Genomic DNA, 23,060 nt, shown 5'->3' on the forward strand with positions numbered 1-23,060 from the left:
CACATCCTGCTGATTGGCCCATTGTACAGGGAGCTAATTGGTCCGTTTTACAGAGCGTTGATTGGTCCATTTTGACAGAGTGCTGATTGGTGCATTGACAAGCCTTTAGCTAGACATAAAAGTTCTCCAAGCCCCCACTCCACTCAGGAGTCTAGCTAGCTTTCTCTATCGGATCCTGAGCCCCGCAGCAGGCGGAGCTGCCCGCCAGTACTGCGCCACGCGCCCGCACTCCTCAGCCCTTGGGCGGTCCATGGGACCCGGCGGGGGCGGCGCCCTTCCGGGAGGCCCCAGCACCGAGGGAGCCCGGGGCGGGGGAGGGGGGGCGTGGCCTCGGCATGGCGGTCGGCGGGTCCCGAGCCCTGCCCAGCAGGGAGGCGGCTGAGGCCCCGCGAGAATTTGAGCATGGCGCAGGCGGGCTGGCAGTGCTGGGGGACCCGGCGCACCTCCGCAGCCACCGTAGGACAGAGGGGCAAGGGGGCTCCCAGACTCTGCAAAGGACGCTGCGGCGGAGACTGATACGGGTCTGAGATGGCTGTCCAAGGCCCAAGTGAGAATTAAACCACATGCCCAGCCAGTGCCCACCACCCGGGCCAACACCATTTCTCTAAAGCACGACACAGGACATTCCACCAACAGAGCATCCCAAAAGGGAATAGAGATCCCGGCTGGCTCATCCCATCAACCATGTCGGAGACTCGGCGGCTGCAGATGCGGTGGGACCTGCCTCCATTAAAGGCACCTTCTGTGGGGACAGCAAGGACTCTCACGCGGGGCACACCAGGTTAGAGGACACAGCCGCGGCTCTCAAGGGAGGCACAATGGGTTACAGGAGAAAACAGCCGAGGCTCTCAAGGGGGCAGAGCAGGTTACAGAACACTGCAGAACCAGGGGCTGGTCCCTCATCCAGCGCAGCTTCACTGAGTGCCAGACTCACGAGGACCCTGCCCTGCCCCGCCCCAGCCCACTCACTGCCCTTGGGTTACCCTTGGGGCTCAGGGTCCAGGGCACCTGCAGGCAGCTGGGACCAGGCCAGCTCTGGGCCAATGGTGGCCCCATCTAATCCCCAGAACCTGTGAACGCGACCTTGTTTGGAGAAAGGATCTGGAAATGAGATCATCTTGGATTATCCACAGCTGAGCCCTAAATCCAATGGTGAGTGTCTCTACCTAGAAGAGGCAGAAGAGAAGACACAGAGAGAAGAGAAGAAGGTGCTACAGGCTGAATTCGTCCCCTCCAAAATCCACGCTGGAACCTAATCCCCATTGTGGTGGCATTAACAGAGCCTTTGGGGGATGAGATTCAGCTATGGGGGCCAGGCTCCTGGGAATGACCGAGTGCCTTATCAAAGGGCTGGGGCATGAGGACATGGCAACCAGGCCCTGTCTTGGAAGCAGGGAAGGGCCCTTGTCGGACGCCAAGCCTGCAGGTGCCTTGATCTTGGACTCTCCAGCCTCCAGAACTGTGAGAAGTGAACATATCATTTCATAAATTACCATGCCTGGTGCTGTTACAGCAACACACACAGACTAACACAGTCGCCCTGAGGCTGGGGCTGCAGTGATGCAGCCACACGCCCAGGACAACTGGAGCCACCAGAAGCTAGAAGAGGCAGGGAGCGTCCCACCAAGCCTCCAGAGGAAGCTGACTCATGAGATGCCTGGACGCTGGGCTTCTGGTCTCCAGGATGATGGGGGAATGCGTCCCTGTTGTGTTAACCCCGGACTGTGTCAATTGTCAGAAGCCTCTGGACACAGTGACACAGCGGGTGGGACCAGAGGCTCAGCACCCCTCATGGGGAACAAAGTCTTTGAGGCCCTCAGGTGGCACTGAGAGACCACAGGGGGCTCCAGAGGCCCTTGGGGGTCCACCTAAGCCAGGATGGGTGTTAGGCCAGGGCTGCCAACAGCACCTGCCTTCTGAGACACATCCAGCCTCTGGTTGCCCATTTTTAGGTGGAGAAAATGAAGGCTGCATACGTGGCTGGTGTGAGGAAGTCAGCTGACGGGAATTTGCTGATTTAAGGGAAGGTTCAGCTGCGTCTGCATGCTAAAGGGCTGTCCTCCAGATCAGATCTAGAAGCTTTGGGAAGGTAATGCAAAAGAATTTCTGATGTTCTTGGCGTGGGGGAAATTTGTTACACGGACACAGAAAGCCTTGCCCTGCAGGAAAAGATTCTTAGAAGGCACCAGATTAAAAGAAAGAACTTCTGTTCGTTGAAAAAATATCATCAAGAGAGTGAAAAAGCAAACCCCAGGGTAGGAGATGTTTGCTATGCACAACAAATGTTGGCTTGTCTCCAGAATATATAAAGAACCTCTACAAATCGATAGGAACTCAATCCACAAAGGGCAGCTGACTTGAACAGGCCCCTCGGGGACGAGGGTATCCAAGTGCCCAGTGCTCGGTGGGAAGCACTCAGCTTCGTTAGTATGACCAGGAAAATGCAAATCATAAGGCTTCCACACAGCCTTACAAAAGGCTAAGACATTGCAAAGGCTGACAGTGGCTAGTGCCGGCAAGGATGTGGGTCAACAGGAAACTGTGGGGGCGAATGGCTTTAATCCCTTTGGGAAACTGCTTGGCATCATCTGATGAATGAAAAGACACACTAGATCCCAGACTCAACGGCTCCACTTCCAGATTGACCCAAGAGACTCATGACCACATGCCCCAAAGAACATCCCAGGAATGCCCACGACAGCTTCATCCCTAGTTGCCAAGAAAGGGGAACCGCGTGGACATGCACCTGCTGACAGTATGGTGGTCTCAGGGACAGCGGGCATCCCCGTGGGAGTGTGGGCGGCGCTGAGCACGAGCACCTGGGGCTCCTCGACGCAGTGTGGACGGACCACTCGCGCACACTATTGATCCACGTTAGCCAGCACAGCAGTGTGCCCACCACGTGGCTTCTGGTTAAAGGTTAAAAACAGGCAAAGCCAAAGCACAGTGCTCAGGAATTGCAGCTTCGACGGGAAAACGGACGGTAAGACCCCATCCCACTCCCGGAACATGAAGAGAGGCGGCCCAGAACGGCTGGCACTAGAACTGCAGGTGGGCTGTGCCAGGTGCCAGGTGGGGCCCTCCCAGCAGGCGGCCTGGGGACACGTGGGCACTGGCGAAGGTGGCAGGAACAAGCCTGGTGGGAGGTGAGGCTGAGATGAGCTTCACCCCAGTGGCTCTGTCCATGGCCCAGGCTCCTCAGGCACTGAGAAGGCAGAGGTGCCACCCCGCCGAGGGGCAGAGGAAACCGGCCCTTGGGCAGCCTTAGGAGAAGCGGGGGCCGGTGTGCGCAGGAGAGGGTGGACGCCCCAGAAGCAGCCACGGTGGCCAGGTTACCTGCGAGATGCCATGGGTGGGAGATGCAGGTGGCTGTGCAGCGGTGCCCTGGGCTCAGGGGGAGGGGCTGGGTCAGGTCCCCGGGGCTGGCTGGGGCCTGGACATGGCTCCCTGGCCCTGAGGCACCAGCAGCACTTCTGAGTGGGGTGGGACTGGCCTGGTGTGTTTCTGGGCGGGGATCCAGTGTGAGTGGGTGAACAGTGAGTGGCAGCCATGGGCACGCTGAGGTACGCACACTTCACCCACCTCTGTGGGCCAGGAAGGCATGTCACATACTCCTGACAAGGCAGAGGGTGCTGGGAGCTCGCCTGTGTCAGACATGAGGGCCCTTGGACCAGGGCCTGGGTTTGAAGCCACCTCCATACCCCATACACGGTGCTCACTGCTCCTGGCCCCATTGACTGATGACTGATGGCCAGAGGGGGACAGCAGCTGTGTGAAGTCGCCTGGCAGGTGCGGCTGTTGGTGGCACTCCCTGGGCGGAGGCCACGTTGGACATTTGTGAACAAACGAGCAGGTTGGGGTTACAGGTTATAGGATCTGGGAAATGTGGTCTGTGATGCCATGCGCCCTGGGGGATCTCATGGAGCCCACATGGGCAGGCACCTTTTATCATGCCAAGAAGTCAAACGTGGGATGCCATGTGGGGAACATGCCCTGGGTGGGGGAATACCCTGGGTGGAGATGCCATGTGGGGAGGATGCTCTGGGTGGGGAATCTTTGTGGGGGTTGTCCTGGGTGGTGGAGCCTTGGTGAAGGAATGGCCTAGGGGGTGGCTCTGGGAGGGGGTGGCTCTGGGATGTGGATGTCCTGGGAGGGGGATGTCACCTTAGGGGGAAAGCCTGTTGCAGATGCCCTAGGAGGGAAGCCCTGTGTGAGAGATCATCTGGGTGGGGGCTGCCCCGGGTGGGGGATCATCTGAGTGGGGGCTGCCCTGGGTGGGGGATGTCCCCGGTGGGGGATCATCCAGGTGGCAGATCATCTGGGTGGGGGATCATCTGGGTGGGGGATCATCTGGGTGGAGGATCATCTGGGTGGGGGATCAACTGGGTGGGGGCTGCCCTGGGTGGGGGCTGCCCTGGGTGGAAGATCTTATCAGGGGGATGCAGTGGGTTATGGCCCTGTGGCAACCCCAAACACACACACACCAAGAAGAAGCTGGTCTCCCTAGGAGGAGGATCCACGCAGGGCAGCTTGGGGTTTGGCTCGTGGATGCTGGGGACAAGGCCTGAGCCCCAGATGTGGCTGGGCCTGACCCAGGCAGCTCCACCCCTTCCTTCCCAGGAAACACCTTTTGCTCGAGCAGTAGGAACTAGGCGTGTGTAGATTCTGCTGCCTGATCCTGGCTCCTGGCTGAGGGTTTGTGGGCTCAGATGGACTAGACACCCGGCCACAACCCTCCTGGGCATAGCCTTCTGGCTCCCCCAGCCCAGGCGGAGGCATTGAGCGACTCTCCTCACCCAGAGTGTTTTCCCGAAGGCGCTTCTGCCTGAGGGCACCAGGCTGGGCCAGGTACTGCAGGGCGCTGACCAGCACTGGCCTGGGGGCCCCAAGAGCCCCAGATGGCATCCCTCTCACACACTCCCCCTGTCTCACCAACAGCTATAAATAGACTCGGCTCTCTGCTGGCACGGCCTCTCCCGAGGAAGCTTTTAATTCTCTGCGTCCTCTGCAGGGGGTGGCTCCCACAGGCCTGGGAGGGAACAGACTGCCTGACTCTCCAGAGAGCTCCCCAGTCTCCATCTGCGATGGGTGATCCTAATTTTCTTCAGGAAGTTCTCCTGAGCCCTGCGTGTGGCGCTTTGGCCTTTGTGCCCACGGAAGCCCCCTGCGGCCCCTCCCTCCGGGCCCTGCCCAGCCCGGTGCACGAACCCTGTTTACCGATTCCCAGGCCTAGGGCAGCCACTGCCAGTGTGAGGCTTGCAAATTAGGGTAGGGGGTCAAAAGGAAGCCCCTGTTGACCATTTCTGTGAGCATTCTATGCTCATTTCCACAACGAGCATTTATAACCTCGTATAATCGCTAAAACATTTATTGCAACTTCAGGGAATTCGGGAAGATAGACCAACCGCAGCTGTAAGATTAAAACGCAGCCAGTGACCAGCGGAGCTTCCTCCACGCACACGCGGTCCAATCCCCATGACTTCATGTTTTGTGAAGATGCAAAGCGAGTTCATGCCGGCGCCTTTCTGAATCAGAGATCCCTTTAGAAACCATGAAAGCTGCAGACCCCTCCCGGGAAAACGCACACACCCTCCTGGAGCTCGCCTTCTGCAGCCGCTCCGGGAGCCCGCCCCTCCCCCACAGGCCCTCCGAGGATCACGTGGTGGGGAGGCGCTGGCACCGAGCGGCTGACAGGCGCGAGAGCCCAGTTCAAGGCGCCGGCATCAGGCTGCAGCTGCCTCACTCCCCTCCACTTCCTGCCCCTTCCCGGCCTTGGTCCAGCCCCATCTCCTAGTCCCAGGCCACAGGGAGCTGGGTCACCTCCCAGGGGCAGGGGCTGGCTGGGCGTGGGGGGAGACCTCTCCCCCTGAGAAGTCAGGCGGGGAGGGGTGGCCGGGGTGGGCGGAGGGGCCCAGTCCTCTATCGGTCCCCCAGGGGCCCTGCACGCAGAAGAGCCAATAAACATGCCAGGTGGATCAGCGGTGACACTGAGAGGGAACGCAACACCCCATCAAAACAGCAGCCCCCCAACCCCCATCAAAACAATAGCCCCCAACCCCCATCAAAACAGCAGCCCCCAAACCCCTATCAAAACAGCAGCGCCCAAACCCCCATCAAAACAGCAGCCCCCAACCCCCATCAAAACAGCAGCCCCCAAATACCCATCAAAACAGCAGCCCCCAAACCCCATCAAAACAGCAGCCCCCTAAACCCCATCAAAACAGCAGCCTCCCAAACCCCATCAAAACAGCAGCCCCCCAAGCCCCATCAAGACAGCAGCCCCCCTAAACGCTTATCAAAACAGCAGCCCCGCCACTGCCCGGGAGGGACAGGCTTCTCACCTCCCTCGGCTCCGTTTACGTAACCGAAACCGCAGAATAAAGGGCTCCTCAGATCCTCGGGCGCTGCTCCCAGGGGTGCGGGAAGGTGTCCCGGCAGCGCCTCTCCATCGCCACAGGCCCGCGGACAGTAGCCAAGGCCCGGGGCAGCTGGAGGCTCTGCGGGGGGCGGTCTGACAGCCCCACCTGCCAGGACGCGGTGGTGTCAGGACCCCGAGACCCGCTCATTCTGGGCCGTTTCTGTGGCCAGGGATCTCAAAACGTGCTGCGGGCAGTGGCTTCATTCCAGCCCTCCACGCCCTAATTTCCCACGCCTCACACCGGCGGCCCCCTACGCCTGGGAATAGGGAAACGGTTCCAGCCCCGGGCTGGGCAGGGTCTGGAGGGAAGGGCTGCAGGGGCGTCCGTGGCCGCGAAGAAAGGCCAAAGCGCCAGGCACAGGGCCCGGAGAAAGTGACAGACCTGTCCCTGGCGCGGCCGACGGTGACCCCCGCTCGCGGCCTTTGCAAAGCCTCCCCGTCGCGTCCTCGCACCGAGCCCGCAGCGCCGAACTCCGGGCATCCCAATCCGGGGGCTCAGGGACGCGCAGGGCGGCCCGGGAATGTGGCTCGGGGGAGCGCGGGGGGCAGGGGCTGCGGCGCAGGTGGCTGCTGGGGCTGACGGGCCCAGTCTCCGCCCCCGGGTGCCCCCCGCGCCGCGCCCGCAGGACCGAGCCCCGCGCCCGCTTACCTTGGAGACGCAGCAACTGCAGCGGAGGCTCCCCCGCGACCCGGCCGCGCGCGACCAAGTGCTCAGCGCAGCGCTCCCCCTGCCGCCCCGCCCCGCCCCCAGCCCCGCCCCCAGCGTCCCGCGCCCGCCCCTCGTGTTCATTGGCAGCCCCGCCCCCGCCGCCCCACCAGGCCCGGAGCATGCGCGGGCGCACTGAGACCTCAGCCTTACAAGACCGGCTCCGCTGAGGCTCCGCCGGCCGCCAGGTATCCGCTCAGCGCAGGGCGCGGCGGACCTGCGGGCCGTGGGAACCGCTGGGCAGTGGCAGCGAGGCCCCTCACCTGTCTCTGGGGCCCCCCGGGGACGACCGGACCCCGATCTCTGCGCCCCGCAGGACGCGCGTTGACGGTGCGGCGGGGGATGGATGAGCGCGGCCGCGGCCTCCTGGGGTGGGGTGGGTTGGCGGCGGGGCCTCGAGGACAGTGCGGGGCGAGCCCCGACCGCGCCCAGTTCTTTAAGGAGCCGCAGACGGTGCAGGGAAGCGGCAGGGCCGGGCTGTGAGGGTGCTCGGACCCCAAGGCGGGGCGCACCCAGGGGACTGGGCTTCCAGGTGGGGACAGCGCGGCCGGGGATCGACCTGAGCAGGGAGACGGGTCCGTGCCGGGCGCCCAGCGCAGCTGCTCGGGAGTGGGCCGCCCTTCACGCAGGAGTGGAGGAGCGGAGCGCGCACCCCTGACCCCGGCCTCAGCTTCCGTTCTCCCTGCAGGTCGCCCGTGTGCAGCGCCACCATCCCGGCCGCTCTTCCAATCTCGCCTTTCTCCGGGCACCTGCCGCCCCTCCCCCGCTCCCCAGACAGGCTTTGCGGAGGGGGCTCATTCCGCCCGGGGCTGCCGGGCCCTCCGCAGGAGTTGGCTCCCCACAAGGTTCCGGGGCCGAGACGACAGGGCGGTTCTGTGGTGCTGGGTGCTGGGACTTCAGGGGCACAGGGGCACCTGCCCTGGAGGAGGCCGAGGCGCAGCCCCCCAGGAGGAAGGGGTGCCTCTGGTGACTTTCAGCGGGACTCTTCCAGCCGGACTCTAGTGCAGCTGAGCTCCTCCCCCAGTCCCGGCTCTGTCCCTGCCCCAGGTGTCCAGCAGGCCCTGGAATCCGCAAAGGCAGAAGGGGAAGTTGGGGTGCTGGGTGCTGGGCAGGGGGTGCTGAGGCCTCACAGCCCGGCGGCTTGGCCCCCACCCACCCCACGGTGGTCCCGCGCCCCACACTTCCTCTCCTCTCCTGTGGTTTCTCCTTCCACTCAGTGCTGCCCAGAGATGGGCTTCTGTCTAGTTCTCCTGAGAAATTCCACACTCGCAGCTGGGAAGTCGGGGGACCCCCGAAGCTGTGCGGCGGCCACGCTGCGGCTCCTGCTTCCCTCCTGCTCGGGTGCGGGCTCGGCTGCCTTCTCGTCCCGCGGAGCCCGGAGTGCCTCCCCCTCGGGTAGATCCTACTAACAGCATCAAAGAAATAATGAAATAATCTCTCCTTGGTGTGTTCTTACCGTCCTAATAGGCACAAGGGGACTCTTCAGTGCATTTTCCAAAACCTGTACAAACTCTCTTGACATAAATGCAGTGAGTTTACAATAAAATCGCAGTGGGAGGTAACGTCAGGCTTCAGAGGCAGACATGGTCCTGGAGCCTTTGGGAGGAGAGGAGAGGAGAGGCAGCGGGCGCGGGGCGGCGTCCAGGGGGCTGAGCGAGGTCTGGGCAGGAGGACAGAGCTGAGCCTTGGGCTGCCCTGGCCCCTGCGCAGGACACACAGTGACCGGGGCTGGGGTGGGCACCCCGGTTCTACCGTCGGGAGTCGGCGTGTTCATGGAGTCTGTTTCCTTGTCTGTGGGTGAAACTTTGGCTTGGGGTCACGGGTGTGTTATTTCCCAGCGACAGTCGGTTCAGTCAGCACTTACAAAATCACCAGAAACAGGGGCACAGGATCTTGCTCAGCAGGGAGAGGTGGATCCTGATTCGGGACTCCAGGCTCTTCACCTGGCCATGGCTGCCCGTCCGGTGGCCCTTCCTGGCCCCCAGCTCTTGCTCCACTGCCAGACCTGGACAGCCTCCATTAACCCTGCAATTACTGAAAACCGACTCACAGCCAATGATGTGATCCACGCCAAGTGTCCCGTTATAAGATGTTTCCTGGGGATCCTTAGAAAATCACTACAAATGGGTTGAACAACAAGGCTTTCCTCTTACGGCTTAGGAGGCCAGAAGTCCGAGATCAAGGCCTGTGCGCTCCGGAGGTTCCCACCTCTTCCAGCTTCTGTGGCTCCAGGCGGTCCTGGGTGGTGGCCGCATGGCTCCACCTCTGCCCCTGTCCTCACGGGGCCTCCTCCCCCAAGTTAGTGTGTCTGTCTCTTCCTTTGCTTATCGGGACACCTGTCACTGGATTTAAGGGCCGCCAGGAGAAGCTGGGATAATCTCAAGATCTTTAATCGAATTACATCTACAAAGATCCTATTTTAACGTAAGGTCTTACTCTGAGGTTCCGGGTCAATGTGACTTTCTTGGGTGGGGGTCACTACCACCCCAGCACCAATGCTTTTCCCAGCTCCACCTGTGTTACCGTGTCAGTGACCAGGAGCGTTCCCCGGGACACCTGCCTGCTTGTAGCTGTTTCCACGGCTTCCTGCACAGGTTCTGCGTCCGCAGTTGGGAGCACCAGGCCAGGCAGCTGTCACATAGGAGGAGGACAGCTCTCCGGGACAAGCCCCTGCTGCCCGGCACCCGCGCCCACCCCTGCCTGGGTTTGGGGTTGGGTTTTGTGGGCAGAGGTTCAGGCTGACAGTGGAGGTTGGGAAGAGCAGACACAGCATGGTGGGTAGCACTGGAAGCCCTGGGTGGAAGGGATGGTGGGAGATGCTGGGCCATCTGGGTCTGCAGTGGGAGACCAGGACAGGAGCCCAGGTCCATTGGGAGGCCCCATGCTGAAGACGGAGGCACGGGGAGCGGGGGGAGCAATGGACTCACGGGGACAGCAGCAGACATGAAAAGGCCTCCGAGGCCAAGTGTGAGGATGCCGGGTCCCAGCACTGAGGTGTCCTGCAGCTGGACCTGTCAGGTGTCCACCCACCCCTGGCAGCTGCATGTCCTTTGACGGCCTATAGGCTGAGCAGCTTCTCTGGGCCCCGTGGGGGTGTGTCCCACAGCAGGTGAGCAGTCAGGGCCCCTTGAGAACCCTAACCAGCTCCTGTGTGGGCCCTGGGCTGGGGACAAGCTACAGCCTAGGTGCATGAGGTCAGAGGGGGTGGTCAGTGAAGTAACGACGTGCCTGCCTGGGTGTGGGGCCTGGGAAGCCTCATGGGGGTGTTGAAGCAGCTCCCACGGGTCCTTGGCAGCTTAGGGAAAATGTCTGCCGGGATATGTGTGTGCACCTGTGAGAGTGTGAGAGTGTGCACATGCATGCGTGTGTTTGTGCATTCCTATGTGTGAATGTGCACCTGTATGTGTGAGTATGCATGCCGGTGTATGTATGTTGGTATGTGTTCAGCTGTGTATGTTCAGCTGTGTGTGTGTCTATTTGTGTGTCTCTGTGTTTGTATGAGTGTGTCTGCGTGTGCCTGTCTGTGTGTGCATGTGTGTTTGCACCTGTATGTCCACGTGCCTGTGTCTGTGTGTTTGCATGTGTGTGCATGTGTCTGTGTGCCTGCATGTGCCTGTGTGTGCATGGGCCTGTGTGTCTTTGTGTGCATGTGTGTGTGTTTGCACCTGTGTGTGTGCACGTGCCTGTGTGTGTTTGGGCTGTGATTGCATCTGGTTATTCTGGGGGTGGAATTGCTGTGGAACATGGAATTAAAGTGCAGGTTCCGGGTCTTGCTGCCAGGGAGCGACTCTGGCCCCCCATCACATGCCTGTGACCCAGAGAACGGCAGGTGAGCCTTGCGGCCTCACTGTTGCCACTGGTCAGGTGCTGATGAGGACGGGAAGCCAAATGGGGCTGTTCAGCCCTAGGCAGAGCTGCTTGGAGCACATTCTTAATACGCCAGCCATCGCTACCTCAGTTCCACAGCCGATATTAGGGAAGAAAGATGCGGGGACACGGCAACAGGACAGCGTGCTGGGCAGAAAAGATGTGGACAGGAGCCCATGCCTGGCAGAGACACGGAGGACCAGAGAGGATGGCGTCGCAGAGCAGAGGGCCGCAGAGAAGGGAGTCACTGGTGTCTGCAGTGGAGAGGACACACCCCTCTGGCAAGGGCAGGGGCTGAGGCCCTGGGTGTGGCTTTCAGACGCAGTGGGCAATGAGCTCTGTAAAGCCGAGATGGCTCCAAGCAGACCACAAGGAGCCTGGTCAGCTTCTGTCCCTGCAACTGTTTTCCCCACTGCCGGAAGTGGCTTCACTTGTGTGGATGTCCTGCACTCAGCCCAGGACTAGATGGATTCACAGCCAGATTCTACCAAACATATGAAGAACTAATACCAATCCTTCTGAAACTATTCCAAGAAATCGAAGAGGGGGGATATCTCTCTAACTCATTCTATGAGGCCAGTATCACCCTCGGACCAAAACCAGACAAAGGCGCAACAAAAAAAGAAAACTCCAGATCAATATCCCTGTGAATATAGATGCAAAAATCCTCAACGAAATACCAGAAAATAGAACCCAACAGCACATCAAAAGGATAATACACCCTGATCAGGTGGGATTTATCCCAGGGACGCAAATCAATAAATGTGACGTATCACATGAACAGAATTAAGGATAAAAACCATATGATCATTAAATAGATGCAGAAAAAGCATTTGATTAAATTCAGCCTCTCTTCATGATAAAAATTCTCAACAAATGAGGCATAGAAGGAACATGCATCAACATAATAAAAGCCTCATATGACAGATCCACAGCCAACATCAGAATTAAGGGGGAAAAGTTGAAAGTATTCCCTCTAAGAACTGGTATAAGACATAGATGCCTACTTTCACCACTCTTATGCAACACAGTACTGAAAGTCCTGGCCAGAGCAATCAGTCAAGAGAAAGAAATAAAGGGAATGCACACTGGAGAAGAAGGAGCCCAAACTATCCCTTTCTGCTGATGAAATGATATTCTATATAGAAAACCCTGAAGACTTGTATCACTGCTGGTAAAGACATACCTGAGACTGGGTAATTTATAAACAAAAAGAGGTTTCATGGACTCACAGTTCCACATGGCTGGGGAGGCCTCACAGTCATGGTGGACGGCAAAAGGCAGATCATACACATCAGCAGGCGAGAGAGAGGGTGAAAGCCAAGTGAAAGGGGTTTCCCCTTATAAAACCGTCAGGTCTCGTGAGACTTATTCACTCCCATGAGAAAAGGATGGTGAAAACTGCCCCCATGATTCAATTGTCTCCTACCCAGTCCCTCCCACAACACATGGGAATTATGGGAGTTACAATTCAAGATGAGATTTGGATGGGGACACAGCCAAACCATATTAAGACTCCACCAAAAAACTCTTAGATTTGATAAATTCTGTAGCATTTAAGGACACAAAATTAATGTACAAAAATCAATAGCATTCTTATATACCAATAACAATCTGGCCAAGAACCAAATCAGGAAGGCAATCTCATTTATTATAGCTACAAAAAATTACCTAGATATGTATTTAACCAAGGAAGTGAAAGATATTTATAAGGAGAACTACAAAACACTGATGAAAGAAATCATACATGACAAATAGAAAAGCACCCCATGCTCATGGATTGGAAGAATCACTACTGTTAAAAATTATCATACTGTACAAAGCAATCTACAGACCCAACACACTCTCTATCAAATTAGGAAAAAAATCCTAAAATTCACATCGAACCCAAAAAGAGCCCAACTAGCCAAAGCAATCCAAAGCTAAAAGAACAAAGTTGCAGGCATCACATTACCTGACTTCAAACTATACTACAAGGGTATGGTAACCAAAACAGCATGGTAGTAGTACAAAAATAGACATCTAGATTAATGGAACAGAATAGAGGACTGAGAAATAAAGACACAAAGTCAATAAAAATATACACTGAGGAAATGACACCCTTTTCAATAAATGGTGCTGGGAAAACTGTATTGGCATATGCAGCAGAATGAAACTGGACAAATACCTCTCACCATATACAAAAGTTAACTCAAGAGGGATTGAAGACCTAAACATAAGAGCAAAAACTATAAAAATCCTAGAAGAAAACTTAGGAAAAATTCTTCTGGACATTGGCCTAGGCAAAGAATTTATGAACAAGTCCTCAAGAGCAACTGCAACAAAAACAAAAATAGACAAATGGAACTTAAACTAGAAACCTTCTGCACAGCAAAAGAAACTATCAACAGGGTAAATAGACAACCTGCAGAATGGGAAAATATTTGCAAACTATGCATCTGACAAAGGGCTAATATCCACAATCTACAAGGAACTCAAACCAAATAAGCCCATTAAAAAGTGGGCAAAGGATATGAACAGCCATTTTTACAAAGAAGACACAAAAGTGGTCAAAAAACATGAAAAAAATGCTCAACATCACCAATTATCAGAGAAAGGCAAATTAAAATCTGAATGCAATACCATCTTAGACAAGTCAGAATGGCTATTATTAAAGTCTAAAAGTAAGAGATTTTAGTGAAGATGTGGAGAAAGGGGAATGCTGAAGTACTGTTGGTGGGAATGTAAATCAGTGTAGTCTTTCTGGAAAACAATATGGAGATTTCTCAAAGAACTAAAAATAGAACAACTATTTGGTTCAGCAACCCCACTACTCGGTATATACCCAAAGGGAAAGAATTAATTATATCAAAAACCACCTGCACTTGTATGTTTATCACAATACTATTCACAACAGAAAAGAAAATGGATCAACCTAAGCGTCTATCAGTGGAGGGCTGGTTAAAGAAAATGTAGCATATATACACAAGGTAATACTACCCATCCGTAACAAAGAATGAAATCATATCTTTTGAGCAACATAGATAGAGGCCATTATCCTGAGTGAAATAACTCAGAAACAAAAAGTCAAATACCACATGTTCTCAAGTATAAGTGGGAGCTAAACAATGTGTACACATGGACATATGGAGTGGAATAAGATGACACTGGAAACTCCAAAAGATGGGAGGGTGGAAGGGGGTGAGAGTTGAAAAATTACTTCTTCAGTACAATGTTCACTATTCAGGCGATGGGTACACTAAAAGCCCAGATGTCACCACTATGCAATATATGCGTGGAAGAAATCTGCACTTCTACCCCTTACATCTATAAACATTTTAAAACTCTGTTCTTAAATAACTGCATCTCAGAATAAGATTTTATCTTATCTGCCTCCCTGAATAAGGTTTACCCAGGTGTGGATTTCTTCTTTTTATTTATGCAGCTCGTCATAAATCAACTCTTCATATACCTGTGGATTCATGTCTTTTGTCAGTTCTGTGAAATCCTCAGGAATATTTATAGGACTACAGAAATATCCAACACCAGAGAAGACAACAATTTTTGACAACCAATCAGAAATATTAGGCACACAAACAAGTGGGAAAATAGGAGCCATAAGGAGGCAAATGAGTCTATTAAAACTGATCCAGAACGGACACAAGGGCATTAAACAATATCAAAACTACATTCCACGTATTGTAAAAGCTAATTTGAGGCACAGAAGATATAACAACACTCTGGATCACTGTTCTAGAGGTGAAAGCTAGAACGTATAAAATGAGAACTGCACTGCATGGGATTAATGGCAGATTAGATGTTAAAGAAGAAAAGATTATTCATTGTGAAACCATGGCAATATAAACTATCCAAAATGAAACCAAAAGCAAAGAGGATTTAAAAAAATTTAAGCCAAATTATCTGTGATCTGTGGGACAACTTCAAGTGGCTTAATATATGTTTAATTGAAGTCCCCAAAGGACAGAAGAAAACATGAGGAATGAGGGTAGTGCATTAAAAAAGATGTTTGGAAAAATAATGACAACATTTTTTTCCAAATTCGATGTAAACTAGTAACCTACAGATGCAAGAAGTTCAATGTACCTCAAGCACAAGTACCATTGAAGAAAATTACATCATGTCTCATTATAATCAAATCGCTCAATCCCAGTGATAAATAGAAATTTTAAAAGCAGACAGGAAAAAATGTCAGACAAAGTATGTAAAGGGGAACACTGGTCCATCCCATAGAAGTTATTTGAGACTTGTTGAGGCTAGTAAGCAGTGTTTTGGGCAATATTCCTTGTGTGCCTAAGGAGAATGCACATTTTCTATTAATAAATGAGCTTGCAGTTCCACAGATATCCCATAATTCAAGCCTGTTAATGGTGTTGTCCAAATCTATGTTTTTATTATTTTAAAAATATGATTGACCTGACAGTAATTGAGAGTTGCATTGAAAACTTCCACAAGTCACGGTGAATTTTAAAAAATTATTCCCTGTGGGCTCTGTGTTTGCTTTATGCATTTTCCCTCAATAAATACATCTTTTTTGAAGTCCCATTAGTGTAGGATTGTTGGTGGTAAACTTGGCTTTGATTTATCTGGAAATGTGATTAATTTGCTCTTTTTCCTAAAGATAGTGTTGCTGGGTACATAATTCCAGATCAAAAGTTGTTTTTTTTTTTTGTCACACTTTGTATTATTTATCTATCTACTGTTCTTATGATTAATACATCTGCTGTCGAACTGCTTTTCTTCTGTGGATGATTTGTTGTTTCTTTCTGGTTTTTAAAGTTAGATTTTCTTTTGTGTTCCACCTTACCCTACAATGTATTTAGGCCTGGATTTCTTATTTTTATTCGTGCAGCTTGTCATGAATTACTCCTCATATACCTGTGGATTCAGGTCTTTTGTCAGAAATTACCCAGGTTCAGGTGTTTCTTTATAGCAATGCAAAAATGGGTTCATTCAGAAAATTGGCACTGAGGAGCAGGACACTGCTATAAAGATACCTGAAAATGTGGTAGTAGCTTTGGAAGTGGGTAATGAGCAGAGGTTGGAAGACTTTAGAGGGCTCAGAAGAAGACAGAAAGATGAGAGAAAGTTTGGAACTTAGTGACTTATTAAGTGGTTGGAACCAAAATGCAGATAGAAATATGGATAATGAAGGCCAGGCTGACAAGATCTCAGATGGAAACGAGGAAGTTATTGGGAACTGGAGCAAAGGTCACCCTTGTGTGCCTTAGCAAAGAGCTTGGCTACATTGTATTTGTGTCCTAGTGATCTGTGGAAGTTTGAACTTAAGAATGGTAACCTAGCGCATCTGGCAGAAGATATTTCTAAGCAGCTAAACATTCAAGAGGTGACATGGCTGCTTCTAACAACCTATGATCAGATAGGGGAGCAAATGAATGACTTAAAGTTGGAATTTATACCAAAAGGAAGCAGGCTGTAAAAGTTTGGAAAATTTGCAGCTTAGCCATGTGGTAGAGAAAGAAAAAAATGTTTTCAGGAGAGGAATCCAAACAGGCTGCAGAACAACCACTTACTAGAGAGATTTGCATGGCTAAAAGGGAGCCAAGTGCTAATATCCAAGACAATGGGAAAAAGACCTTGAAGACATTTCAAAGATCTTCGCAGCAGCCCCTCCCATCACAGGCCCAGAGGCCTAGGAGAAAAGAATGGCTTAATGGGCCAGGACTAGGACCCTGATGCCCTGTGCAGCCTCGGGACACTGGTCCCTGTATCCCAACTTCTTCAGCTACAGTGGTGGTTCAACAGTCTCCAGGTACAGTGTGGACTGCTGCTCTAGAGGGTAAGCCTTGCTGGCTTCCAAGTGGTGTGAAATCTGCAGGAACACAGAACACAAGAGTGAAGGGGCATTGGCAGCTTCCCCCTAGATTACAGAGGATGTGTTGGAAAACCTGGGTGCCCAGGCAGAAGCCTGCTGCAGCAGCAGAGCCCTCACAGAGATACCCTATGAGGGCAATGCTGAGAGGAGAGGTAGGGTTGGAGCCCCACACAGACTCCCCACCAGGGCACTGCCTAGTGGAGCTGTCAGCAGAGGGCTTCTGCCCTCCAGACCCCAGAATGTTTGATCTACTGGCAGCTTGCAACCTCAGCCTGGAAAAGCCACAAGTACTCAACTCTAACCCATGAGATTGGCTGCAGGAGCCACAACCTGCAAAGCCACAGGGGTGGAGTTGTACAAGGCCCTGGGAGCCCACACCTCACACCAGTGTGCCTCATGGAGTCAGAGGAGATTATTTTGGAACTTTAAGGTTTAATGTCTGCCCTGCTGAGTTTCAGACTTGCTTGGAGCCTGTAGCCTCTTTCTTTTGGCCAATTTCTTCCTTTTGGAATAGGTATGTTTACCCAGTGCCTGTACCATCATTGTATCCATTGTATCTGGGAAGTAAATCACTTGTTTTTGATCTCACAGGCTCATAGGTGAAAGGAATTCATCTCCAGATGAGACTTTGGACTTGGCATTTTTGATTGAGTTGATCCTGGAATGAGTTTAGACTTTCAGGGACTATTGAGAAGGGATGATTATATGTTGCAAGGCGAGCTGGACATGAGATTTGAGGGACCAGGGATGGAATGATAAAGCTTGGAGGTTTGTCCCCTCCAAATCCCATGTTGAGATGTAATCCCCAGTGTTGGAGGTGGGGCCTGGTGGGAGGTGTTTGAATCATGGGAGCAGGTTCCTCATAAATAGTTTAGTGCCATCCCCTTGGTGATGAGTGAGTCCTTGCTCTGGTAGTTCACTTGAGATCTGGTCATTTAAAAATGCATGGTGCTCCCTCAACCCCACCACTCTCTCTTGCTCCTGCTCTTACTACATGATGTGTTGGCTCTCACCCCACCTTCAGCCATGACGGAAGCTTCCTGAGGACTCACCAGAAGCCAAGCAGATGCCAGCACCATGCTTCCTGTACAGCCTGCACAACTGTGAGCCAGTTTAACCTGTTTTTAAATAAATTACCCAGCCTCAGGTATTTCTTTACAGAAACACAAAAACAGCCCAATGCACGTAGTAACTTATAGATATATTTGGAAAACTGATTATCTTTTAAAAAATGACTACTAAACAGATTAAAATGCAGAGTTCATTAAAATACAGAGGATGCCTCTGGTTCTCTGGTATTGACTCTTTTTGTCTACTAAGATAAGAAGTCTGGGCTAGGCTGAAAAACTCAGAATCCAGGTCTGGGGTTTCCCAGTACTATGCTCCCATTTCCCAGTACTGTGCTCCCATTTCCCAGTACTATGCTCCCATTTCCGAGTACTGTGAACTCCCCTTTCCCAGTACTGTGGGCTCCCATTTCCCAGTACTGTGCTCCCATTTCCCAGTACTGTGTGCTCCCATTTCTCAGTACTGTATGCCCATTTCCCAGTACTGTGCTCCCATTTCTCAGTAGTGTACTCCCATTTCTCAGTACTGTGCTCCCACTTCTCAGTACTGTGCTCCCACTTCCCAGTACTGTGCTCCCATTTCCCAATACTGTGCTCCCATTTTGCAGTGCTGTGAGCCCCCATTTCCCAGTACTGTGCTCCCATTTCCCAGTACTGTGCTCCCATTTCCTAGTACTGTGCTCCCATTTCCCAGTACTGTGCTCACAGGTGTGAGCCAACATGCCCGGCCCATCAGCTCTTAAGCAGCAAGAGGCCCTGCAGCTGGCTGGCTGGCTGGACAGCACAGTTAAGCAGGTGGCTGCATCCTCTGCAGTTGCTGGCAGCCCATCTTCCTGGAGATGTAAACCCTCCTGCAAGGCTGGCTCTTCTTTGGGTGTGATGAAGATGATGACAGAGATGGATGCTGGGCTCTGAGGGTCCTGGTTCCTTCGAAGGACATCCAGGGGCCTCTGAGATGATGGGCTCTGGTTCCTGGCCTGTAGCATGGGTAGGAGCAGGAGGCTTTGCAAGGTAGACTCTACAGGCAGGACCTTGATGGAGGGTGGGGTTTCAGGGTAGAAGACCTGGATCACAGGGGCACCTGAGCTCCTGCAGGACAAAACAAAGTCACTCTTTGAGCAGCCACCAGGGAGGAAGCTCAGCTCTACTTGTGATGGAAACCCACCGGTGGCTTTTACCCCAACCTGTTGCCTGGAGAGGCAGGGCTGGTTTCTGGGTGGATCATCACCTTGGCTTAGACACAGAGCCCCACTCCCAGCTGGGTCTAGTGAGAGTCCTCCCGAGCCAGGCTCCTGCCCTCCCCATCCTTCCAGAAAGCTTAGAGATGAGTGCATCACCGACAGAGGCCATTTTCTATTGTTCTTCTTCGGAAATACATCCTTTTGAAAGATAACCCATCTTTTATCACTAGATATTTTAAAAAATATTTTCTTTGGCCAGGTGTGGTGGCTCACACCTGTAATCCCAGCACTTTGGGAGTCCGAGGCGGGTGGATCATGAGGTCAGGAGATCGAGACCTTCCTGGCTAATACAGTGAACCCCCGTCTCTACTAAAAATACAAAAAATTAGCTGGGTGTGGTGGTGGGCAACTGTAGGCCCAGCTACTCAGGAAGCTGAGGCAGGAGAATGTTGTGAACCCGGGAGGCGGAGTTTGCAGTGAGCCAAGATTGGGCCACTGCACTCCAGCCTGGGTGACACAGCGAGACTCTGTCTAAATACATATGTGTGTGTGTGTATATATATATATATTCTTTGTTTACGGCATTTATCAATTGAATTATGTTGTGTCTAGAATTTTATTTCCCCTTCTTGGATTCACTGGGCTTTATGAATCTGTGAGTTGGTGTCTTCTAACAATGTTGGCAAATTCTCAGCCAAATCTCCTTAAATATGACATCTTCCCAATTTTCTCTCTTTTCTCTTTCTAGGACTCTAAACATAACATAGCCTTCAAACTGTATTCTCATTCATTTTTTTCACATTTTGCGTTTCTGTCACTTTGTATCTATTTCAGTAATTTCTTCAGCTCTAGATTCTAGTTCCCTAATTCACTTTTCAACTGTCTAATTTGTTGTTAAATCCATCCACTTTAAAAAAAATCAGTGATATTTCTCATAAGTTTTATTTGGTGTTTTTCCATATCTGCTTTGTAATTTAAAAAATAGTTTTCTGTTCTCTTCAGATATTTCTGACTTTGTGTTTTCTTCATGTTTTGGTCTGCCAAATTCAACATCTGAAATATTTATGTGTCTGTTTCTACTACGTTTTCTGCTGCTTCTCACTCAGTGCTTTATTTTCACATGTGGTGGGTTGTTTTTCATTGAGAATTGCTTCTTTGCTTTGTAGTTTTATTTTTGAGAAATCTTTGAGGCTTAGGATGAAGGTTTGTTACTCAGAAGGAATTATGCTTGGCTCCTGGGAATGACCAGTTCAGAATCACTCTCTATTAAATTCTCAGCTTGGGGACTTTTGGTCACCCACCTCACACAAATTTAGGGAGAACCTGTTGCTCCAAATACTCGGCAGTGATTTTTCTCTTTTTCTTTCAGCTCTAGGGCTTGAAATGACTGATCCCCCCTGATTCCTTTGCGGGTAGAGAAGTGAGTTGCCTCTAGTTTGCCACTGCAATGAGGGTACCGCCCTCTGGGGGCCCTTACTTTAAGAGATTACTGATTGGCTTGCCATTTTGGCTGTGCTCTCAGCTTGATCTTCCATTTGTATCTCTTGAAAAGGTGAAAATGAAGTTGACCAGGTTTCACAAATGCCCTCAGGGCAAAGGCCAGCTGCACTCCCCACTAGATTTCTCTTTGGGTTCCTCTGTGCCTTCAACCATGGCCTGAGAATTCCTTATGTCTCCTCAGTTCATTAATGCCTTTAAGAATATTTACACTCGCACTCACATGGACACGGACACGCGCACGCGTGCACACACACACCCTTAACTTGCTCAGTTTCGGAGCATTGTCCGATCCTTGTAAGTGACTTGCCACATGACTAGAACCTCTGGCTTCATTTCACTCCTTCTTTCTTTCCCCTCCCTTTTCCCTTTATGCCATCGGTCTGTATTCCACGATCTTTAAAATCTACCTTAAGTACTTTCTGGGATTATGTAAAAATCAGACAACTCTCCTAGCCACCATCCTTTTCTAGAGATAGGAGTGACTGACTCCTACACCACAGGCACTTTGGAGGGGTAAGGTGTAATACTGAAGAAGTGTTTTGTGTGGTCTACAGTAATTCACAACTCTAAGACGTTATCACAGCGAACATTTGCTGTTTAAAACCTTAGTGGTGAATATTTTTTTTTTTGAATGAGGCTAATTCATTTCGAAAGCACCCTAGGAAGACCAGATGCTTTTGAAATGATTTAGACTCATTCAAAAATAATGCAAATGATAAAGAGCATGCAAATGATAAAGAATGTGACCTGAAATTATCTGCAACTTCAGCAGACAAGCTGTGGTTGGCTGAGTTTGGGCTTCTATAAAACACACTGAGCCATCTTGTTTCAGTCACTAATCAAGCTCTGCCCTGGGAGCTTGCTCTTTGCTGTGGTTTGGACATCTGACCCTTCCAAACCTTATGTTGAAATTTGATCTCCATTGTTGGAGATGGGGCCTCATAGGACGTGTTTGTGTCATGGGGCTGGACCCCCTATGAACAGATTAATGCCCTCCCTCTGAAGGGAGTGAGTTCATGCTCAAGTACTTCTTGCTCTAACGAACCCATGAGACCTTGTTGTCGAAAAGGGCCTGGAGCCTCCCCCAGCCCTTCGCCTCCTCTCTCTCCATGTGATCTCTGCACATGTCAGCTCCCTTCACCTTCTGCTGTTAGTGGAAGAAGGCTGAGACCCTCACCACATGCAGAGCTCAATCTTCAACTTTTCAGCCATCAGAATCATAAGCCAAATACACGATTTTTCTTTATAAATTACCCAGGCTCAAGTGTTTCTTTGTAGTAACACTGACAGACTAAGACACGCCTTGTGTCCATCACTGTTAGTCACTGTTGCTCACGGAAGGGAGTCCACAGCTCCATTTGATGCTCACATGGAAGGATGTCCACAGAAGCTGTCAGTTTTTGCAGATTATTTGCAAGTTGATGCTTCGGCCAAGCGTCCAGCTCCACTTCTCAGGCTCTGCTACTCCTCAGCCATTTCACTGTTCCACACAAAGGAAATGGTGGGAGGAGCACGTAGACTCAGGCGCTGTTCTATAGACATTCTACATGAGCTCAAGTTGTAGCTTCTTAAGTTTGTCCTCCATACCACTGAGACAATTTTTTACTGCACCAATTTACTTCTTCTTTCCTTGAAAGATTTTAATTTTGCAACTTCATGGTCAGTTTCTTGCAATCTTTCCACATCTCTTTCATCTCCCCTTCAATCTCAGTGGATTTGTCTTCTCATCTCAACTTGTCTCCAATTATGATTTTGACTCCTGCCTCATGAAGACCCTGTGCTATGCATCTCAAACACTTTTTTTTCTAGAGAACAATTTTCACAGGTTTGCTGTCTCTCTGGGCTTTCAAGGTGATGTCTATTCCCAGTTCTGCAAAATTTTCACAGGATATACACAGAACCATGAGTCCTACCCTCTTGTCCTCTAGGGTGCTGGTCAGGGCTGTGCTGCTGGGAGACCTTGACCTTCCTCAGGGCTCTATGGCACCCAGACGGCTGTGGGAAGCTGCCTGGAGCACAGGAACTCTGAGGATACCAGGGCTTTTGATGTTTTGCCCGATCATAGGGCTTTTCTTGTATGGATCATGCCTTTCAGGATACAGTATGCCCTATACCCTTTTCCTGTCCAGCTAGCTTTTGGGAGGTGCCTCTCTGAAGCATTGTGAGAAGGCAGGTACTGAACGGTAGACTTCAGGGTGTAAAGCAGCTTGCTTTGCCTTGGAAAGCCAAGGTAACACCTTAGAGAAAGGGTTGCAGTCTCATTTTAAGGTACAATCATGTCTCATGTTTCTTAGCTGAGGGGATATAGTAGTGGAGGGAGAGCATGCCCCTCTGTTTTCAAGTGCTCAGTCTACCTATTCTGCTGGCAGAGCATGTCTGGATGGTTTGCCAACTCATGTGTGTGCCTGATAGCAAATTCCTTTAGCCTTCTAGTGAGTAAACTTTCCCCCTGATTCTGGAAGTAAATGATCATTTGTTTCACGGTTAA

The 23,060-nt window shown here is 51.6% G+C and overlaps 2 protein-coding genes across 20 annotated transcripts in view, besides 5 other annotated features; both read right to left on the bottom strand.

The window, feature by feature from the left end:
* ZDHHC11B (zDHHC palmitoyltransferase 11B (putative)) overlaps nt 1-7,129 on the bottom strand; it is a 74,375-nt gene extending 67,246 nt beyond the window's left edge. For 5 of the 7 annotated variants that reach the window (NR_147096.2, NR_147095.2, NM_001351303.2 and 2 more), the window contains exon 1: nt 7,068-7,129. The gene's annotated coding sequence lies outside the window, so the exon portion shown is untranslated. Of the gene's footprint in view, nt 1-6,341 lie in introns of all 7 variants that reach the window. The other 2 variants (XM_017010115.3, XM_017010113.3) reach the window with 1 other exon arrangement.
* Nucleotides 5,164-5,823: an enhancer, noted in NCBI's record as "H3K4me1 hESC enhancer chr5:782879-783538 (GRCh37/hg19 assembly coordinates)". NCBI's record gives its function as "activates a minimal SCP1, AML or CMV promoter by ChIP-STARR-seq in primed H9 embryonic stem cells {active_cell/tissue: H9 hESC(primed)}" and the evidence as "EXISTENCE:reporter gene assay evidence [ECO:0000049][PMID:30033119]".
* Nucleotides 7,078-7,507: a silencer, noted in NCBI's record as "silent region_15877". NCBI's record gives its function as "represses an Ori minimal core promoter by ATAC-STARR-seq in GM12878 lymphoblastoid cells {active_cell/tissue: GM12878}" and the evidence as "EXISTENCE:reporter gene assay evidence [ECO:0000049][PMID:35858748]".
* Nucleotides 7,078-8,146: a biological region, named in NCBI's record as "H3K27ac-H3K4me1 hESC enhancer GRCh37_chr5:785123-785861".
* Nucleotides 7,408-8,146: an enhancer, noted in NCBI's record as "H3K27ac-H3K4me1 hESC enhancer chr5:785123-785861 (GRCh37/hg19 assembly coordinates)". NCBI's record gives its function as "activates a minimal SCP1, AML or CMV promoter by ChIP-STARR-seq in naive and primed H9 embryonic stem cells {active_cell/tissue: H9 hESC(naive and primed)}" and the evidence as "EXISTENCE:reporter gene assay evidence [ECO:0000049][PMID:30033119]".
* Nucleotides 16,606-17,466: an enhancer, noted in NCBI's record as "OCT4-NANOG-H3K27ac hESC enhancer chr5:794321-795181 (GRCh37/hg19 assembly coordinates)". NCBI's record gives its function as "activates a minimal SCP1, AML or CMV promoter by ChIP-STARR-seq in naive H9 embryonic stem cells {active_cell/tissue: H9 hESC(naive)}" and the evidence as "EXISTENCE:reporter gene assay evidence [ECO:0000049][PMID:30033119]".
* Nucleotides 18,005-23,060, bottom strand: part of ZDHHC11 (zDHHC palmitoyltransferase 11) — a 64,959-nt gene continuing 59,903 nt past the window's right edge. For all 13 annotated transcript variants that reach the window (XM_047417747.1, XM_047417746.1, XM_024446212.2 and 10 more), the window contains one exon: nt 18,005-18,980. The gene's annotated coding sequence lies outside the window, so the exon portion shown is untranslated. The remainder of the gene's footprint in view (nt 18,981-23,060) is intronic.

Source organism: Homo sapiens, chromosome 5 (assembly GCF_000001405.40).
Source record: "Homo sapiens chromosome 5, GRCh38.p14 Primary Assembly".
NCBI lineage: Eukaryota > Metazoa > Chordata > Mammalia > Primates > Hominidae > Homo > Homo sapiens.